The 17,320-nt window shown below is 44.9% G+C and overlaps 1 long non-coding RNA gene across 1 annotated transcript in view; it reads right to left on the minus strand.

The window, feature by feature from the left end:
• Positions 1-729: 729 nt before the first annotated feature.
• The window catches only part of LOC124902170 (uncharacterized), a 42,854-nt gene continuing 26,263 nt past the window's right edge, over positions 730-17,320 (minus strand). Inside the window, exon 3 of the long non-coding RNA XR_007061552.1 lies at positions 730-2,332. This is a non-coding gene — a long non-coding RNA (uncharacterized LOC124902170). The remainder of the gene's footprint in view (positions 2,333-17,320) is intronic.

Below are 17,320 nucleotides of genomic sequence, written 5' to 3' on the forward strand. Positions count from 1 at the left end.
TAAGGCCTGACAATAGGACATGTTTGTTATTTCAATAATGACTGCAAACTAAAAGAAGAGATATTGTTTGTAAAATCTTTAGACGCTGACCATACCAGAGTATCTATTCTTGCTGCTATAAAAACTTGGTTTGGGGCTGGGTGCAGTGGCTCATGCCTGTAATCTCAGCACTATCATTTTCTCATATGAATCGGAAAATGCTGACTTCTACATCCTAAATCTAAACTAATTTCCCACTCACTTGCTAAGCTTCAGTCACACCAGGCTGCTTTCTGTTTCTGGAACGATCCAAGCGCTCTCTGATTTTTCAGGGTCTTCAGTGTAACTGTGCCTCTGCTTGGAATACCCTTCCACACTGCTGGCTCCTCACCACCAAAGCTCGAGGGTTATCTCTCAGACACCCGTCCTATCAATGCTACGGGAAGTATCCCTCAAGTTACTGCCTATACCACCTATTGATATATTTCATAGTATTTATCACAATATAAAATTACTTCATCTTCCCCTTTTAATTTAAAATCTTTTTTTTTCTCCAGACTAGAATGTAAACCTCATGTGGGCAGCAGACATGTCTGCTTACTTATTTTTTGAGACGGAGTCTCGCTCTGTCACCCAGGCTGGAGTGCAAGGCGCGATCCCGGCTCACTGCAACCTCCACCTCCCGGGTTCAAGCGATTCTGCTGCCCCAGCCTTCCAAGAAGCTGAGATTACAGGTGCCCACCAGGCCCGGCTAATTTTTGTATTTTTAGCAGGGGAGCAGTCGGGCTCTGGACTACATTTCCCGGAGGATTCTGCGGGCCAATACCATGTCTCGCGAGATTTTGGCTTCCTCTTAGCCAGGTGGCAGAATCTTTCGCTGTGCCCAATTAGCTGCTGCCACGCCTTGGAGTCCGGAGTAACTTGGCCAGGCCGGCCCCGAGCGGAACTAGAGAAAGCTGAGGATGAGGAATCCGGCTCTGGTCCTTTTGTGTGTGGAGGGCTGAGGAGAGGAGTTTGCGTGTGTGATTGCCATGGTTGCCGTGGGTCTTCGTGGTCTGTGACTGTGGCTGTGTGGTGCTGACTCTGGGTGATCAGGTGGGCGCTTGTGACTGTGCGCGCTCGGAGTGGATGTGTGTGTCCTGGACGAGCCGCGCTGTGTGTGCGGATGTGGACAACCGGTGACTGTGTAGTGGGGGCTGCGTGTCCCAAGGTGGGTGTGTGACTTTGCGTGTGTGTGCAGTACTGTGTGTGCATGAGTTGCAGGTCTGTGGCTGTGCAGGTGCAACTTGTGTGGCCCCGTGGTCTGTGTGAGAGAGGAGAGTGTGATTGGCTGTGAGGCAGAGGGTAAGTGGATATAGGGAGGCATGTGTGCGATTGGAAATTTGTGTGTCCCCTTGAGAGAAAAAACCCTTTAGGGAGTTAGAGCGGGTCCTTGGTAAAACTCCTTTCAACAGAGAAACAGCCTGAAAAATCAGGCTGCAGGCACAGAGAAGGAAAACTAGCAAAGGGGGTTGTCCTAAAGACATTCCTCAGCTGCATTGATAGGGGACCGAGGCCCAACATAGAAATGCCTTTGTCCTTTGTGTGACCAGTGGGCTTCCAGGAAATAGTCGCTTTTTTGTGGGCATGTATATGGTGGGCTCTGTTAGATTTTGAAGGGAAGGTGAAGGTTAAAGAAAGAGAGAGAGTTGGCAGCTCTATGGAGGGGACCAACTAAATGCCAGAGCCCACTGCCGCTTACAGGCTGGAGTAATTATAGGCCTGGGCAGGAGGGATCTGGGCAGTATAGCTTGTTGCCTGGGAGCATGTTGATAAGGATGTTTCTTGGGCCTTTCCCCAGCAGGATGTGATAAGGAAGTCAGGCGGTTGGGGAGGATGTTTCTCGCAGCCCAAACCCCAGTGGAATGTTTCCCTCTGACCAGGGTCTGTGAAATGGTGGGGGCTTACAAATCGGTGCAGCTTGGACTAACAGGCTCTGGTGACCACTTTCCTTTTCTGGACATGCTTTGGACTGTGAGCCGAGCCTCTATGAATCATCACTTCAGCCCCTGATTGGTCCTGGGCCAAACTTTCACTTCAGCCCCTGCTTGGTCTTGGGCCAAAATTTCACTTCAGCCTCTGGTTGGTCCCAAGCTAAGGTCCCGGGCCAAGCGAAGTTGTGCTTTCTCCAAGACAGGTCACAGACTAGTGAGCACATTCTTCCCCTTCCCAGTTCACAAAACCCCCAGATTCAGCCTTCTAGTTGGCAACCCTCTTTCGGGTCCCCTCTCCGCTGGGGAGAGCTTTCTTCTTTTGCATATTAAACTTCTGTTCCAACCTCATCCTTTGTGTCCACGTTCCTTAACATTCTTGGCTGTGAGGGAAAGAAGGCAAAGACAAGAGCCTTTATCCTAACAACTCAATTGCTGGAGAGAAGATTCATGCATATTCTATGTGGCATCACATGCCATAGCCCTGGGATTGAAAGACATGCAGTTTAAGGGATGGTGTTAATCTCAGTCCAAATAGGTAATAAGATCTTTCCCTTTGCTATATTTTAGGGGTAGGAATGAGATTGGGGGTTTGATCAATAATTTGTACCCATAGGACCAGTGATTTGCCCAGTCATCTGTGAGTAAATGCTTGGACCAGTTTCCATGTCTGTATTGAATTAAAAACTCATACGGTTCTGTGATTTTTGTCAAATACAGATTTGGTCTTTGTCCCTGTTTCCTGGTATACAACTCCTAAAATCCTTGGAATGTCCTAAGGGCTTGCTTTTTTTTTTTTTTTTTTTTTTGAAACGGAGTCTTGCTCTGTAACCCAGGCTGCAGTGCAGTGGTGCAATCTCCACTCACTGCAACCTCTGCCTCCTGGGTTCAAGCAATTCTTCTGCCTCAGCCTCCCAAGTAGACTACAGGCATGTGCCACCATGGCCGGCTAATTTTTGTCTTTGTTTTCTTTTTTAGTAGAGATGGGGTTTCACCATATTGGCCAGTCTGGTCTCGAACTCCTGACCTCAACTGATCTGCCTGCCTCGGGCTCCCAAAGTGTTGGGATTACAGGCATGAGCCACTGCACCCAGACTTTGGCTTTTTATATGTTAGGGATTGACCAATAGCTTCAGGATGTGGGCTGGTCATCAGAAAGACCAAGGCAGGATTAGAGGGCTGGGACTTTCAGCCCCTAACCTCCCACCCCTGGGGAGTGGAGGGGACTGAGGATTAAGTTGATGGCAAGTGGCTAATGGTTTAATCAATCATGCCTATGTAATGAGGCCACCTTACAAACCCAAAAGGAGTGGATTCGGAGAGCTTCCAGAGAGCTGAACACATGGAGGTTCCTGGAGGGTCGTGCCCAGGGAGGGGATGGAAGCTCTGTGCCCCTTCCCCCATACCTCACGCTAGGCATCTCTTCATCTATATCCTTTGGAATATCCTTGTAATCAAACAGTAAATGTGTTTCCCTGAGGTTTGTGAGCCATTTTATTCTAGCAAATTAATCAAACCCAAAGAGGGGGTCGTAGGAACCCTAAATTAAATCTGTCAGTCAGAAGTTCCAGAGGCTGGGACTTGTGACTGGTGTCTGAAAGGGGGGCAGTTTTGGGGGCTGAGCTCTCAATCGATGGGGTGACACTATCTCATGGTAGATAGTGTCAGAATCGAATTGGTGGATACCCAGCTGGTGTCTGTTGCAGAACTGATTCCTTGCTTGCTGATAGGAAGAAATCTCATATTTTGAGGCCACAGAAGTCTTCTGGGTAGATTGTTGTGGTTTTGGTGTGAAGCAGAGGAAGAACACAGGTTGAGTTTTTTCCAAATGGGTTCACATTGGGGGTCCTCAACCTCAAATCCATCAACTCCATCGCTGAATTTTTATTTATGTATTTATTTTTATTTTTGAGGTAGAGTCTCACTCTCTCTCCCAGCCTGGAGTGCAGTGGTACCATCTCAGCTCATTGCAGCCTTCATCTCCGATGCTCAAGTGATCCTTCTACCTCAGCCTGCCAAATAAGCTGAAACCAGAGGCACACACTAGCACTGTAGCATAATTAAAAATACTTTTCAGTAGATAAGAAGACTCACTATGTTATCTGGGCTGGTCTTGAACTCCTGAGTTCAAGTGATCCTCCCACCTCTGCCTCCAAAGTTCTATGATTACAGGCATGAGCTGTCTCACCTATCACTGATTTTCTTTTTCTTTTTTTCTTTTTCTTTCTTTCTTTCTTTCTTTCTTTCTTTCTTTCTTTCTTTCTTTCTTTTTCTTTCTTTTTTTTTTTTTTTTTTTTTGACAGAGTCTCACTCTGCCTTGCCCAGGCTGAACTGCAGTGGTGCAATCTCGGCTCACTGCAGCCTCCGCCTCCCGGGTTCAAGTGATTCTCCTGTCTCAGCCTCCTGAATAGTTGGGATTAGAGGTGCCCACCACCACACCTGACCAATTTTTGTATTTTTAGTAGAGACAGGGTTTCACCATATTGGCCAGGCTGGTCACGAACTCCTGATCTCAGGCGATCCACCTGCCTTGGCCTCCAAAAGTGCAGTGGCAGGATCAGGGCATACTGCAGCCTTGACCTCCGGGGCTGAAGGGATCCTCCCTCCTCAGCCTCCCAAGTAGCTGGATTATAGGCATATGGCACCATGCCAGGCTAATATTTGTAATTTTTGCACAGATGGGGTTTTGCCATGTTGCCCAGTCTGGTCTTGAACTCCTGAGCTCCAACAATCTTCCCAGCTGAGCCTCCCAAAGTGCTGGGATTACAGGGAAGAGCCACTGCACCCGGCCTATCACTGCATTTTTAAAGGGAAGGAGGACTATAGTGAGACTCACTAAGGCTTACAGAAAAGGTAGAACCCTAGATAGATTTAAACACAGAGATTATAATATCCTTGAGATGATAATATCCAAATTTAGCTTTCATAGATAGGGAAATTTGAAGTACTTCAGACTACAAGGTGGCATTTTGTGCAACTAGTTAAAACTATGTTTGAAAGAGAGCAATTGCATTTTCATTACTGAATAATATTAAGCAACAATGAAAATAAATAGAAATAACCAAGAAATTGTTATATTTAAATTCTCCCTCCTTTTTTGGAAAGAGAAGTATTGATATTTTTAGATTCTAATCAAAACTTCTCCTTTAAAAAAATTGATGATTCTATGGAGATAGGGAGGGAATAACCTGTGTTTATTGAACACCTAATATTCCACTTACCCAAATGTCATTTATTCTATATTCTAGTTTTTTTGTTGAGACAGGGTCTTTCTTGCTCTGTTACCCATCCTAGAGTGCAGTGGGGTTGTCACAGCTCACAGATGTATACCACCATGCCTGGCTTATTATTTTATTTTATTTATTTTATTTTATTTTATTTTATTTTGTTTATTTTATTTTATTTTTATTTTATTTATTTTATTTTATTATTTTATTTTACTTTTGCAGAGACTATGTCTCCCTATATTTCCCAGGCTTGACTTGAACTTCTGGGCTCAAGTGATCCTCCTGCCTTGGCATCCCAAAATGCTGGGATTATAGGCATAAGCCACTGTACTCAGGCAATATTAAAGTCTTGATATGAGAAGTGTCTCAGTGTACTGGAAAGCTTTGTCTAAATTTTGAAAAAATATTAAAAAACACATTGGTTTTATTTGGCCAATACTGATTTCTTTGCTCCATCATTATTTATTGGCATTATTAGCCTGTTGACTTTCAATTTCTTTACATCCCTTTCACTCCATTTCTTTTATTTTGTCCCCCAAATAGAAATTCTTTTTTTTTTTAGATGGATTCTCGCTCTTGGCTCTTGTGACCCAGGCTGGAGTGCAGTGGTGCAGTCTCATCACTGTAATCTTCATCTTCCAGGTTCAGGCAATTCTCCTGCCTCAGCCTCCACAGTAGCCTAGATTACAGGCATGCGCCACTACACCCCGCTAATTTTTTGTATTCTTTCTTTTTTTTTCTTTGAGATGCAGTTTCGCTCTTGTTGCCCAGGCTGGAGTACAATGGCATGAACTCTGCTCACTGCAACTTCTGCCTCCCAGGTTCAAGCGATTCTCCTGCTTCAGCCTCCCAAGTAGCTGGGATTAGAGAGTGATCCACCACACCCGACTAATTTTTGTATTTTTAGTAGAGACAGGGATTTGCCATGTTGGACAGGCTGGTCTGGAACACCTGATCTCAAGTCATCTGCCTGTCTTGGCCTCCCAAAGTGCTGGGATTACAGGCATGAGCCACTGTGCCGGCATTTTTGTATTTTTATATTTATTTATATTTTGATAGAGAGTCTCACTCTGTTGCCCAGGCTGGAGTGCAGTGACACAGTCTTGGCTCACTGCAACCTCTGCCTCCCAGGCTGAAGTGATTGTCCTGCCTCTGCCTCCCGAGTAGCTGGTATTACAGGCACCTGCCACCAGGCCTGGCTACCTTTTGTATTTTAGTTAGAGACAGGGTTTCACCATGTTGGCCAGGCTGGTCTTGAACTCCTGACCTCAGGTGATCTGCCCACCTTGGCCTCCCAAAGTGGCCTTGCTTGAGGCCAGGAGTTTGAGTCCAGCCTGGCCAACATGGTGAAACCTGCTGTCTACCAAAAATACCAAAAAAAATTAGCCGGGTATGGTGGTGTGTGCCTGTATTCCAAGCTACTTTGATGGCTGAGTCACAAAAATCACTTGAACCCAGGAGGCAGAGGTTGCAGTGAGCTGTGATCACCTCACTGCTCTGTAGCCTGGGTAACAGATTGAGACTTGTCTCAAAAAAAAAAAAAAAATTCTTGGCAGGACGTGGTGGCTCACACCTGTAATCCCAGCACTTTGGGAGGCCAAGGTGGGTTGATTCCCCTGAGGTCAGGAGTTTGAGACCAGCCTGACTAACATGGAGAAACTCCATCTCTCCTAAAAATACAAAATTAGCTGGGCGTGGTGGTGTCTGCCTTTAATCCCAGCTACTCGGGAGTATGAGGCAGGAGAATCACATGAACCCAGGAGGCAGAGGTTGCAGTGAGCCGAGATCACACCACTGCACTCCAGCCTGGGCAACAAGAGCGAAACTCCATCTCAAAAAAATAAAAAAAATCTTTACTTTGGATGAATACTTAGAAATGGAATTTCCAGGTCGGCCTTTAGATATTATTAATGGATTTAATATGAAAAACCTTTACTTGAGGATGTATAAAGCTTTAAAAGACAGGGTCCCTACTCTTAAGCTATAAATAAAGCAGCATTTGTAAGGTAATATTCAGAAAACATCAGATAATATCCTATAAAGTCCTCCTGTTCATGCTGATGACATTAGGTGGCCAGTTAAGGATGACACTTCATTCTTTCCCCTGCAACCATGGTCCTGACATGTCTAAATGATACTGGCCCTATGAGAACACTGTGGATGTGAAATCATTTCCTCAAGTTATCGTTTTGGCCTGCTGGTTTTAATCTAATAATAGGATATCCAAAGTGAATCTAATGGAGTGACATGATTGTGCATCTGTTGGGGTGAATCAGAGACAGCTAGAGCAAGGGCAGACACGTGCTAAACTCATCTGTCTTAAGAGCTGAAGCAAGAAGCAATGTTGCTAGCAGAGCTACTGCATATCTGTTCACGTGGCTCCAATGGCTCTGATCTGTTTTTTTCCTAGTATGAACCTAATACACAAGACAAGTTAAAAAATCAGAGTTGGCCAGGCATGGTGGCTCATGTCTGTAATCCTAGTACTTTGGGAGCCAATGTGGGTGGATCACTTGAGGCCATGATTTCGAGACCAGCCTCGGCAACACAGTGAAACCCCATCTCTACTAAAAATACAAAAATTAGGTGGGTGTGGTGGCAGGCACCTGTAATCCCAGCTATGGGAGGCTGAGGTTGCAGTGAGCCAAAATCAGGCCACTGCACTTCAGCCTGGTTGACAGAGCAAGGCTGTCTCAAGAAAAAAAAAAAGGGAAAGGAAAGGAAAGAAAATCACAGCTTGTTAGCCACTTGCAGCTAAACACATATGCACAAAAATTATTCAGTAAAAGCAAAACAGTTTTGGTGTATCTTGAGATTTTGTTTTATATCCAAAGGAAGACTATATCTTTCATCTTTGAACTAGTCTTTGGAAAATGCCTTCTATATAACAAATGTTATAGTTTTCTTCTAATTGGGTCTTGAGGTCTCTCAGGAGAATGGCTATAAACTCTACCTCACTCTAATGGGGCTCTAGGGGAGGGGCCTGTGGGTCTTTAGAGTAGTCTTTCACCAGAAATTTCTTTTTTCTGGACCACAGCCTAATGCTCAAGTATCTGACCCATGACCAGGTGTCTCACAGGAAACTTGTTTATACTAGCAGATGCCCTTGTAACTTTTGTCTGACCTGTGTGCAGTTTATTCCTACCATGATACCCACTCTTTTTTTTTTTGAGACGCAGTCTTGACTGTTACCAGGCTGGAGTGCAGTGGCACGACCTTGGCTCACTGCAATCTCCACCATTTGTGTTCAAGCAATTCCCCTGCCTCAGCCTCCCAAGCAGCTGGGACTACAGGCGTGCACCACCATGCCCAGCTAATTTTTGTATTTTTAATAGAGTCAGAGTTTCACCATGTAGTCCAGGATGGTTTTGATCCCTTGACCTCATGATCTGTCCTACTCAGCCTCCCAAAGTTCTGGGATTACAGGCATGAGCCACCACACCTGGCCTTTTTTTTTTTTTTTTTTTTTGAGACAGGATCTTGCTCTGGTGCCTAGGCTGGAGTGCAGTGGCAGGGTCAGAGCTCACCACAGCCTTAACCTCCTAGGCTCAAGCAATCCTCCCACCTCAGCCTCCCAAGTAGCTGGGACTAGAGGCATGTCCCACTACATCTGGCTACTTTGTATATGACATATGTTTTTGTAGAGGTAGGGTTTTGCCATGTAGCCCAGGTTGATCTTGAACTCCTGAGCTGAAGCAATTCACCTGCCTTGGCCTCCCAAAGTGCTTTGATTACAGGTGTGGGTTACCACACCCAGCCAATGTACATTTAATTATCAAAGTACTATCTATACTATTTTATGGAAGTACTAATTATCAAAGTGCAATAGAGGTTTTGTTGTTGTTGTTGTTGTTGTTTTTCTTTTGAGACAGAGTTTCACTCTTATTGCCCAGGCTGGAGTGCAGTGGTGCAATCTCGGCTCACTGCAACCTCCACCTCCCAGGTTCAAGCGATTCTCCTGCCTCAGCCTCCCAAGTAGCTGGGATTACAGACATGTGCCACCACACCCAGCTAATTTTATATTTTTAGTAGAGACTAAAATGGTCTCTCCATGTTGGTCAGTCTGGTCTTGAACTCCTGACCTCAGGCGATCCATCCACCTTGGCCTCCCAAAGTGCTGGGTTTGCAGGTGTGAGCCACTGTGCCCGGCCAATAGAGGTTTTCAAACTTTTTGTAGATATTTTTGAAAGATACAGTCTTCCTTTAAGAAAAGAGACAAGGCTGGGTGTGGTGGCTCATCCCTGTAATCCCAGCACTTTAGGAGGCCAAACAGGTGGATTGCTTGAGCTCAGGAGTTTGAGAGTAGCCTGCCCAAATGGCAAAACCTCGTTTCTACTAAAAATACAAAAAAAATTAGCTGGGTATGGTGGTGCATGCCTATAGTAAAAGCTAATACAGAGGCTGAGGTGGGAGGAACACCTGAGCCTGGGAGGTTGAGGCTGCAGTGAGCTGTGATTTTGCCACTGCACTCCAGCCTGGGCAACAGAACGAGACCCTGTCTCAAAGTGAAAACAAAAACAAAAACAAAAAAATGAAACAAGAGAAAAAAAACAAGAAAGAAAATGGTAAGGGGGAAGTGCCTATTTATTAAGCTTTTGTTGTAAATAGTAACTTGCATATCAGATGTTTACTGTAATATTCTTGAAGCCTTGCCAGGCGTAGGCTGTGTGCTTTTCAACTCTATTTCATTTATTTGGGAAATCATATACCAATGTATTTATTCATTCCCAGCTCTAACCATGGAATACTGGGAATGTCCCTTTCTATGAAGGAGGTTTGCCGGCCACAACAGGAAGATTCATGAACATGGAGGTACTTTGTTGAAGTTACACTAATTTTTTTACTCTTCCCCACTCTCAGCCTAGCTGGTCTGCTCACTGTATTCTCTCCATCCTTCAGCACCCTTCCATCTCTTCCTTCATCTTAAAAATCTTTCCTTTAATTTCAACAGTGCTGCCTGGGTTTGTCATTTCAGGGGTTGGGCATGTTCCAGGATCTGTCTATAGACTTCTCTCAGGAGGAATGGGAGTGCCTGGACGCTGCTCAGAAGGACTGATACAGAGATGTAATGATGGAGAACTATAGCAGCCTGGTCTCACTAGGTAAGGATGTCTATCCCCAAATAACTCATGAATTTTGGGTGTAGCTTTCACTTGTCTGGGTGACTTTTCACCTGCTGATTAGGGAATTGTTTTGTGTTTTGTAGATTAATAGATGGGCAGCTCTTTGGGGTCCCTCCATCTTCTCCATGCTTCAGACCTTTACACCTTCCTCTAGTCCTTCGTGACTACTAAGGGACTAACTTTGAATTCAGGAACAGCACGAGTATGTCTTACTTTTCTTTCTCTCTTTTTCTTTCTTTCTTTCTTTCTTTCTTTCTTCCTTCCTTCCTTCCTTCCTTCCTTCCTTTCTTTCTTTCTTTCTTTCTTTCTTTCTTTCTTTCTTTCTTTCTTTCTTTCTTTCTTTTTCTTTCTTTCTTTTTTGAGATGAAGTCTCACTCTATCACCCAGGCTGGAGTGCAATGGCGCAATCTCGGTTCACTCCAACCTTCATCTCAGGTTCAAGCGATTCTCATGTTTCAGCCTCCTGAGTAGCTGGGATTACAGGCACCTGCCACCACACCTGGCCAATTTTTTGTGTTTTTAGTAGAGACGGGGTTTCACCATGTTGGTCAGGCTGGTCTTGAACTCCTGACCTCAAGCAATCCACCTGTTTTGGCCTCCCAAAGTGCTGGGATTACAGGAGTGAGCCACTATGCCTGCCTGTCCATCTTACTTCTTTTCTTATAAACAGATCTCTCTATCCCAAAGCCTGATGTGATTTCCTTACTGGAGCAAGGGAAAGAGCCCTGGATGGTTTCAAGGGACGTACCGGGAGGATGGTGCCCAGGTGAGTAAGGACTGAGCAGATGGGGAAGGCACTGCTGTTTAGAACCCAGCCCATCAGGGAGGCAGCGCCGTAAAGGTATTGGTTGGGGAATCTCTTCTGCAAGGTCCCACGTAAGAGTTGTGGCCTAAGACACATGGAGAAAAGTCAAGATACCACCCCCCCCCCCCACAAACACACTCTTTTTTAAATTTTTTTTTTAATTTGAGAGAGAGTCTTGCTCAGTCACCCAGGCTGGAGAACAGTGATGCGATTTTGGCTCACTGCAACCTCCGCACCCAGGTTGAAGCGATTCTCCTGCCTCAGCCTCTAAAGGAACTGGCATTATAGGCACCTGCCACCATGCCCAGCTAATTTTTGTATTTTTAGTAGAGACGGCATTTCACCATGTTGGCTAGGCTGGCCTCGAACTCCTGACCTCAGGTGATCCACCTGCCTTGGCCTCCGAAAGTGCTGGTATTACAGGTGTGAGCCACTGTGTCTGGCCGAGAACCCCCTTTTACCTCCACCTCTTCAGTCTGTGCTACCCTCTTGTCATAATTTCTTTCCATTTCAAAGAATAACATTCCCTTCTTCAGAAGCCATCCTGTTTCCTCTATCTTGGAGCTACTTCTTTCACTTTAAAATTTAAACCCGTGTTGTTGCTTTAAAAACAAATCTTTTAAAATATATTTATTTTTCATACTGATCCTTGACTTTTTTTTGCCTTGTCTTTTCTTGGCTAGTTTTCCTTTAATGCAGCCATTTCATGCATCAATAGATATTCATTCACTATTTTTTTTTTGGATACAGAGTCTCACTCTGTAGCCCGGGCTGGAGTGCAGTGCGCGATCTCGTCTCACTGCAAGCCAATAAGAAGAGCTTGGGGATGACCTCCCTACAAGCACAGCAAAACCTTTCCTGCGCATTTCTGCGCTGGAACGCCTACCCGCCTCGCCAAACCAAAACTTTACTACCACCCTTAGTGCCGTTTCCTGCGCTTTCTTGGAGAGTTGTACCAGGTGCTGGAGACCCTCCCACCTGGTCCATGCCCGCCTCCCGGTGAGCACCGAGACCCAACCTTGTGCACCGCCAGTCTTGTTATCAACAAACAGGCTAGTAAATTATAAAAAAATAAAATAAAGGAAATGTAGCTGGTCGTGGTGTCATGCACCTGTAATCCCAGCTACTCCGGAGGCTGATGCAGGAGAATCGCTTGAACCCAGGAGGTGAAGGTTGCAGTGAGCCGAGATCGCACCACTGCACTCCAGCCTGGATGGCAAGAGCAAAACTCCTTCTCGAAATAATAAATAAAATAAAGGAAATGGGGCCGGGCATGGTGGCTCACGCCTGTAATTCCAGCACTTTTGGTGGCTGAGGCGGACGGATCACTTGAGGTCAGAGGTTCGAGACCAGTCTGGCCAACATGGTGAAACCCTGTCTCTACTAAAAATAAACAATTAACCAGGCATGGTGGCTGGCGCCTGTAATCCCAGCTATTTGTGAGGCGGTGGCACAAGAATCGCTTGAATCCCGGAGGCAGAGGTTGCAGTGAGCCGAGCTCGCGCCGCTGCGCTCCAGCCTGGGCGACAGAGCGAGACTCCATCTTAAAATAAAATAGGCCGGCTGAGGGTGCTCATGCCTGTAATCACAGCACTTTGGACGCTGAGGTGGGTGGATTGCCTGAGCTCAGGATTTCAAGGACATCCTGGCCTACATGGTGAAACCCTATCTCTACTAAAAATGCAAAAATTAGCCGGGCATGGTGGCGCATGCCTGTAATCCTAGCTACTTGGGAGGCTGAGGCATGAGAACCGTTTCAACACAGGAGGCGGAAGTTGCAGTGAGCCGCGACCGCCACATTGCACTCCAGCTTGGGCAAGAGGATTGAAACTCTGTCTCAAAAAAAAAAAAAAAAAAAAAAAAAAAAAAAAAAAAAAACAAATAAATAAATATAAAAGAAATAGACAAAGCAAACCTTAATGTATGAACTCAAACAAATGCTTTCACTGCCAGGCTCCATCTTTGCAAAACTGAACCTAGGACAATGTGCACGTTTCTAACTAGCAATTCTGGAGGACAGATCAGGGAGGCAACGTGAGCTTGCTTTTCTGCAGTTTAATTGACTGGTCAGTAAAGTCAGTGTTTGCAGGCATTTTCAATGTTCTGTAGTGGGCTTCAGTTCCTATGGCAGTGTGGCAGGCCAGGTTTCCAATAGCAACCAGAACAGTTTCTACTAACCCTTTACTATAATTTTGATGAATGCATAAGTTAAAGTTAAAGAAATGGAGAAACTTGTGCCTGAGTATCAGGGATGGAATGTGAAAACAAACCCATTGAGACCCCACCTGGGTTTTCTCAGACCCTAAAGTCTGATCGAATAATGATAGCATTGGTACACATTCACCTCGGCCTGTCTTAGGATTCAGAAACTTTCCAAGACTCTAGAGAAATCTTTCCAGATGCTAGACCCGAGTTAAAGATTAGATGTTGATTGAATGAAACACTCCTGCTTGTAGGTGCAATCCCACGTGGAGCTTAAGATGTATATAAGCACTAGAAAAAAAAAAAAAAAACTTGTAACTTTGAATTGATCTGGTGAATTACCTGGTGCTTCTCCCTGTAAGTGGCTGCGGAAATAAACTTCCTTCTTGCCCAGTCTGTCTGTGTCTTGTTATTGAACAATTGCAATGGACCTGCCCAGCAAAGTCCTCTTTTGTGTGGTTATCTGGGACTCCTTTTGGAGGGAACATTTAAAATTTTCCATTTCAAAGCATTCTGTTGGCACTCTTACACTGTTTTTCTCTGCCTACCCTGGGACCTGAGTTCTCCTGGACGCGAATCTCCAGCCACAGAGCCTAGAAGCCCATTCCTCCACATTCTGTGACTGTTCCCCAAACACAGGGAGAATTTTCAGAAAATAAGCCTAAAAATGTTGCCATTCTTTGCAATAAAACCCCACATTACAAACTGCTGAAAACAGGATTTTAGCCTGAATAGGTTTTTCCTCTATTTGAAACCCTTTACAATTTTGGAGGGAAGTTTCCAAATCAATCAGTAAGTACCCCCCACCCCAGGTTTATCCTTATGTAAAGTGACCCCTTTGCACATGCAAGATTGAATAAACCTTGAAAATATTATGCTAAGTGAAAGAAGCCAGTCACAAAGGACCACATGTTATGTAATTCCATTTAAATAAAATGTCCAAAATAGACCAATACATAGAAGCAGAAAGTAGATTTGTGGTGGCCCAGGGTTAGGGGAGTTGGGGGGAAATGGAGGGATATGGTATTTACTTCAGGGTAATGAAAATGATCTAAAATTTATTGTGGTGATGTTTGCATAACAGTGCAAATATACTGAAAACCACTGAATTTTACACTTTAAATCAGTGGCTTCTGTGGTATGTTATCAATATTTCTCAATAAAACTTCAAAAAAAAAGTGCCTATGTGTCTTTTTGTTTATTATTCCTCCAGAGTCCAGTCCATAGTTTTTACATTTGATGAAGAAATTAAGATTTTGTTTCTTCTTCTTCTATTTTTTTTTTTTTTTTGAGACAGAATCTCCCTCTGTTGCCCAGAATGGAGTGCATTGGCACAATCATGGCTCAGTGCAACCTCCAGGATAATTTTTGTATTTTTAGTAGAGACAGCGTTTCACCATGGTGGCTAGACTGGTCTCAAACTTCTGATCTCAAGTGAGTCCCACACCTTGGTTTCCAAAATTGCTGGGATTACAGGCATGAGCCACCGCACCCAGCCCAAGATTTAGTTTCTGTTGTTTTGATGCCCTAGGGCCATCTTATTCTACCTTAATTTCCGACGCATCATCTCAGTGGAAATTTTACCTTAGGCCCCAAAGTATTTTCCTCTTTTTAAGATTTTATCAGCTGAGTACAGTGGCTCACACCTGTAATCTCAACACTTTGGGAGGCCAAGGTTGGAGGATCAGTTAAGCCCAGGAGTTCAAGACCAGTCTCTGCAACATAGTGAGACACACATTATCTACAAAAAAAATTTTAATTAGGTGGGCATATTGGTGCATGCCTGTGGTCTCAGCTTACTACATAGGCTGAGGGAGGATCACTTGAGCCCAGGAGGTTGAGGCTACAGTGGCCATGATTATACCACTGCACTCCAGCCTGGGTGACAGAGCGATAGTCTGTCTTAAAAAAAAAACTGATTGGAATTTTTTTTTTTTAGAAAACAAAGTATAGACTTAGTGAGTTGATACAAATGAATGAATTTGATAATCTACAGAAACAAAAACAAATAAATAAATAAAAACCCAAAGCCATTCTTCTTATGTGAATCTCTGGTGTCTCTGAATTATAAGAATTGTGAATTATGATTAATAACAAATATGCATGACAAGGACTCAATAAGGGATAGGCATTAATAAACTGCAATGCACATTTACTGGAGTAAGGCCTTTAAAGATGTACAAGAGAAAGAAAGAAAAGGCATTGAAAAATTGCATTGCCTACCAAAATGCTAAAGTTTACCTAAGTCCATTAATCAGCACACACAGGCAATGGGTGTGTAAAATGGTCAACACAGTCTCCTATGAATGTATCCTTTTATTAATAGGTCTGTGGGGGTAAGAGATGAGGTTCTATAGATCCTGGAATCAGGGATGGGGAATCTGTGAGTTCCCTGGGGTGAGAGATGACGATCTGTAGATTAGTGATGGGTGGTCTTTGGGATAGTGATGAAGTCCATGGAATCAATGATTGTGGGTATGTAGGGTCAGTGATGAGGGAATCTGGTGTCAGTGATGGGATGTGTGTTTAATCAATCTGTGAAAGCCAGATTTGTGGAGTCATCTCTCAGGCTGACACATCCTGATCTGTGTGTCAGTCGTGGAAATTCTATGGGGTCAGAGTGTGACTGTCAGGTCCCTGACACTGTGTGTTCTGGGTCTGGCCAAGTGCACAGATTCCCTTGCCTTGTCCTGGCTGGGGAGGCCCTTCTCAAGGACTCCTCACATAAAAGGTGGGTTGGCGGTGGGTTTTGTTTTTGTTTTCGTTTTGCGGTGGAGGTGGGGGTGGGTTAGCTTTTTCTTTAGGGTTTAGTTTTGCCTCTTAGAGACCACAGACACATGCAGCTTTTAGGAAGAAATTTCTGTCTGGGTGGTCGCTAGGTCCTTTGGGCCAAGCCATCTAATGGGAGTAAAACTGACCATTCCCTCAGCGAGGTTCAGAACTAGATGGTCATTTTAAGGTGTCCTCAAGGTGGCGTGCAAGTGGGTTGTGGCTTCGAGTGGCAGGTGTGCGGGAAGAAACAACTAAGAAGACCCAGGAGCGCTCCAAGGCTGGATCTGTCACAGCTGGAAGAACAGCCTCCCTAACCCATCAGGCGCCAATGGGAGGTACCACAGCTGTGAGAGGCTGGTGGAGTTGGAACCTCCAGACCTAGAGATTCTGGGCACAGAAGCCTATTACCGCCAGACGCTGAGGCGTTGCCATGGGATCCAAGGGCGTTTCGGGTCAGCTCAGAGCCTTTCTCAGATAATTGTTTCGGTAACTGGGGAGCTGCTGTCCAGCGCACGCACTTATGAAGGCTTAATGTGCCGTCTCCCGCAGAGTCTTCTTTGGTCTGAGAGCCACTTGTTTCTTACATCCTTGTGCTAATCTCACCATCTGCTCCTACATATCCCAGGCATTTGCCACATGCTGGTCCTCTCTTTCCTGACAGGCGGGCCATCTCTCCAGCTTCTGTGAGGACAGTTCAAATTATGGAGGAGGGGGCAGGTGCAGGGCAGCAGTGCTGAGGGGAGTACCATGCAGTTGGGGGAGCAGGGACTCATTTTTCTTTGTAGCTCAGATTCCTAAGCCTGTGACTTTGAGTATCGGTGTCTTCCTTGCAATGTTTCAATCTGAGGTTCTTGGGGAGAGTGCAGAATTGGAGCCCGATGGAAGACCGGTGGAGAGAGGGGTGGGTGGAGGGAACATGGAGAATGTGTCAGGTGGTGTCTATTCCTGGCACCTTACTTTGCCTGCTGGAGTTTCCCAGTCTGTTCCAGATGCATTCTCTCGACCCTGAAGGGACCTGAGGGGGGATGTTGGTCTCCAGTGTGTGCTCCCCTGGACTCAATTGGAATTGGTCCCACAAAGTGTTTTTATTTATTTATTTATTTATTTATTTATTTATTCATTTATTTATTTATTTATTTGGAAGGAGTCTTGCTCTGTCACCCAGGCTGGAGTGCAGTGGGGCAATCTCAGCTCACTGCAACCTCTGATTCCCAGGTTCAAGTGATTCTCCAGTTTCAGCCT

The sequence above is a fragment of the Homo sapiens genome, chromosome 9, assembly GCF_000001405.40.
Source record: "Homo sapiens chromosome 9, GRCh38.p14 Primary Assembly".
Classification (NCBI taxonomy): domain Eukaryota; kingdom Metazoa; phylum Chordata; class Mammalia; order Primates; family Hominidae; genus Homo; species Homo sapiens.